This window comes from Homo sapiens, chromosome X (genome assembly GCF_000001405.40).
Source record: "Homo sapiens chromosome X, GRCh38.p14 Primary Assembly".
NCBI classification, from domain to species: Eukaryota; Metazoa; Chordata; class Mammalia; order Primates; family Hominidae; genus Homo; species Homo sapiens.
Window position 1 is genome coordinate 116,269,577 of NC_000023.11, and position 3,742 is coordinate 116,273,318.

General features: G+C 37.7%; 1 annotated feature.

The window, feature by feature from the left end:
• Nucleotides 2,216-3,415: an enhancer, noted in NCBI's record as "P300/CBP strongly-dependent group 1 enhancer chrX:115403048-115404247 (GRCh37/hg19 assembly coordinates)". NCBI's record gives its function as "activates an origin of replication core promoter dependent on BRD2, BRD4, P300/CBP, MED14 and CDK7 cofactors, with strong dependence on P300/CBP, by STARR-seq in HCT116 cells {active_cell/tissue: HCT116}" and the evidence as "EXISTENCE:reporter gene assay evidence [ECO:0000049][PMID:35650434]".

The window sequence follows — 3,742 nt, forward strand, 5'->3', positions numbered from 1 at the left end:
ACTTCACTAACAGGATCTTGCTAAGATCACCAATACCTCCCTTGTAAAGTCAGTGAACATATTTTTCTTTTTTTTAAATTATACTTTAAGTTCTAGGGTACATGTGCACAATGTGCAGGTTTGTTACATATGTATACATGTGCCATGTTGGTGTGCTGCACCCATTAACTCATCATTTACATTAGGTATATCTCCTAATGCTATCCCTCCTCCCTCCCCCTACCCCATGGCAAGCCCCGGTGTGTGATGTTCCCCTTCCTGTGTCCAAGTATTCTCATTGTTCAATTCCCACCTATGAGTGAGAATATGTGGTGGTTGGTTTTTTGTCCCTGTGATAGTTTGCTGAGAATGATGGTTTCCAGCTTCATCCATGTCCCTACAAAGGACATGAACTCATCCTTTTTATGGCTGCATAGTATTCCATGGTGTGCATGTGCCACATTTTCTTAATCCAGTCTATCATTGTTGGACATTTGGGTTGGTTCCAAGTCTTTGCTATTGTGAATAGTGCCACAATAAACATACATGTGCATGTGTCTTTATAGCAGCATGATTTATAATCCTTTGGGTATATACCCAGTAATGGGATTGCTGGGTCAAATGGTATTTCTAGTTCTGGATCCTTGAGGAATTGCCACACTGTCTTCCACAATGGTTGAACTAGTTTACAGTCCCACCAACAGTGTAAAAGTGTGTTAGTGAACATTTTTCAAGTCTTGTCTTATTTGACTTTTGATAGCATTGGACATTCTTGACAACTCCGTCTTTTTTGGATGTTATGATACAGCTTTTTCTTTGTGTCCTACCTTTTTCTCAGTCTACTTCAGAATTTCTTTCATCTGTGTGTATCTCTTAAATACTGGAATTTCATCTTTGACCCAAGTTCTTCTTACCCTATAAACTAGCTGACTGAGCTCTCTCATCTCACTTCTTGTCACCTTGGCAAATGCTTTCTTCTTTGTTAAGTCTTGGTTAAAACTGATACATTGTGACTCCTTCTTTGACTCCCTTAGTCATTGTTAAGAATTACTTTTTCTAAGTTTCACTGCATTCTCTGCATATATACCCTCATAAAAGCAAGCCTTATTTTATCATGTTTATCTGTTTCCTAATGTATCTTTAACTAGATTGGCAGTTCCTTGAAAATAGACAATCTTTTTACACCTAACTTTTTGGATGATGCCTGAGTGTAGATACTCACTAAACATATGTAGATGAGTTAATAGATGTGTTTGGGTAAGCTCCTTCCTCTTTGCAGCCCTGTGGAGAGTGTGGCGGGGTGGTATGGAGGGAAGTTGTGACTACCTGAAAATTGCATAGGTGGTAAGTGGTGGAGCCAAGGAATATTTCACCCAAAAAGCCTGATTTAGCCTGATTTGCTCATTCCACAATGTATACATGTATTGAAACATCACATTGTACCCTATAAATGTATTCAATTATTATGTATCAATTAAAAAATAAAAACACTTTTTAAAAAGCAGCAAAGTTACCCTACTAACTCCACAGAGTTCCTATGAAAACTACATGAAATCATAGGTATGGGTGGTATATAATGCTAGGTATAAAAACGTTTTCCCTGTTTTCAAGGAACTGCCAATACAGTTAAAGATACAGGTTAGGAAACAGATAAACATGATAAAATAAGGCTTGCTTTTATGATGGTATATATTCAGAGAGTACAGTGAAGCTTAAAATAAAGGTAATTTCTAACAATCACCAAAGGAGTCAGAGAAGGAGTCACAGTGTATCAGGTTTTAACCACGACTTGACAAAGAAGAAAGGATTTGCCCAGGTGCTAAGAGTGGGATGAGAGAGCTCAGGCAGCTAGTTTATAGGATAAGAAGTTTCTTGACGTGTCTATACCTCACGTTCATCTCTAGACTGGGATAATACTATATACCCCAAAGTGTTGATGGGGAAACTAAGTGAGAAAAGATATGGGACACAGAGGTGCTCAGTTAATGCTAATCTTTTCCTTCCTTCCTTCCTTCCTTCCTTCTTTCCCTCCTTCCCACCTTCCTTCTTCATTTCTCTCTCTCACTTTCTCTTTTTATTTTTTGCCTCCTGACTTATTCCACTTAAGTCTTCCTTTATTTTATACTGACCTCAATGCCTGTAGTGAGGCACCACAGAATCTACTTTGGAAAAATTTCTCAGGGCATTCTTTCCACCTCTTCCCTCATCTCAAGCTTGTCTTGTCCCTTTTTAAAAATTCTTGGTGATCTTTTATTTTCTTATTTTTTCTTTTCATACAAATAATACAAGTTTTTTTTTGTAGAAAATATAAAGAAAATTAAAACTTAAAATCATTCATAATTTTAAGCTCACATCCAGAAATAATCACTGACAACAGGGAATACAATTCAGATCTGTTATGAATTATATTTACATATATTTAAATATATCTATGTTTGCATATATCTATCCTTTTAAAAATAATATAATATGAAACTTGAAGCTAAAATATAGATGCCAGAGAGATCTTTTCCTGCCCTAGGTGAAGGTGTTATTGAAAAAAATAAACTCTACTTGTTATTCTGTCACTGTCCCCACCACCTCCACATATGCATGTTCCCATCACTACCCTTTTCTAGTAGAAACTTCCTTTCTTCTTTGCCCATCCAAATCTCACCCACCCTTAAAATTTACATACATTTTATCTCCTCCAGGAAACTATTTTGAATTTATCAGCCCACACTGAGCTCATTCTTCTCTAGGCTTCTAGAACACTTCCAGTTTATGTCATAGTTTATCACTTCCTTGTTGGGAAGGGGAACTGGATGATAATTAGGTGTGCTTTCCCAACTCAAGTGTGAGCTTCTTGAGGCCAAGGAGTCCATCTCATGCTTCTGTACTCCCCACTCACACTTTCCTCAACCCCTTGACTTCTGCCAGTACTGATGCAGGGCTGGGCACGCAAGAGGAATTCAGGAAATGCTTGTGGTTTGATTCATCTTGCATCCTTAACTCTTGACGTCAATAGTAGATGAATGAAGGGCGCTTCCCAAGGGAAGAATGTGAAAGTCTCCACTCCTTTAACTCTGTTGTGTAAGCCATATTAAAAGGTGAGAAGCTAAATACAATGGCTTGACAAAAGGCAAGTGAGAATCAATGGCACTTTAATCCTGTCTTGCTTTTTTGTCCAGTTCTGTAACCTGAAGTATCTGTACTTTAGGGAAGAAATACAGTAACAATCATGTTTAATAAACCAAAAAGTAAAGGGCCCCAGTAATCTACCTTTTCTGTGTATTCAAGGAAGTCTAGAAAAATTGATGTGATTTACATTCATATCTACAGTGAAGGCTATGAAATTTTGCTGCTGTACTTCCTGAGAACTACTTCCCTAGCACCTTTCTGTCTTTTGAATAAGATAAGAAGCCTTTGCACCTGGGCTGTGCTTTATGTTTTACTACATGTACCCTGATAGTATGTTAGTCCAGAGTACCATCATCTCAAGCCAATATTATTGCAACATCCTCCTAACTGGTTCCCCTGGCTCAGTCTTTTACTTGTTAAAGTCCATTCTTCATACTGCAACATGATCTATCTGAAACAGAAATCTGATTGTGCCACACACCTGTTTAAAACTCTTCAATGGCTTACTATGTCCTTAGGATAATGTTTCACCCATTTACCATGCCTTAAAAATCTCTTCATAATTTGCCTCCTGCTTAGCTCTTGAGTTTCATCTCCTCCCATTCTCTAAGCTCCAACCACCCTAAAATATGTGTAGATCCAA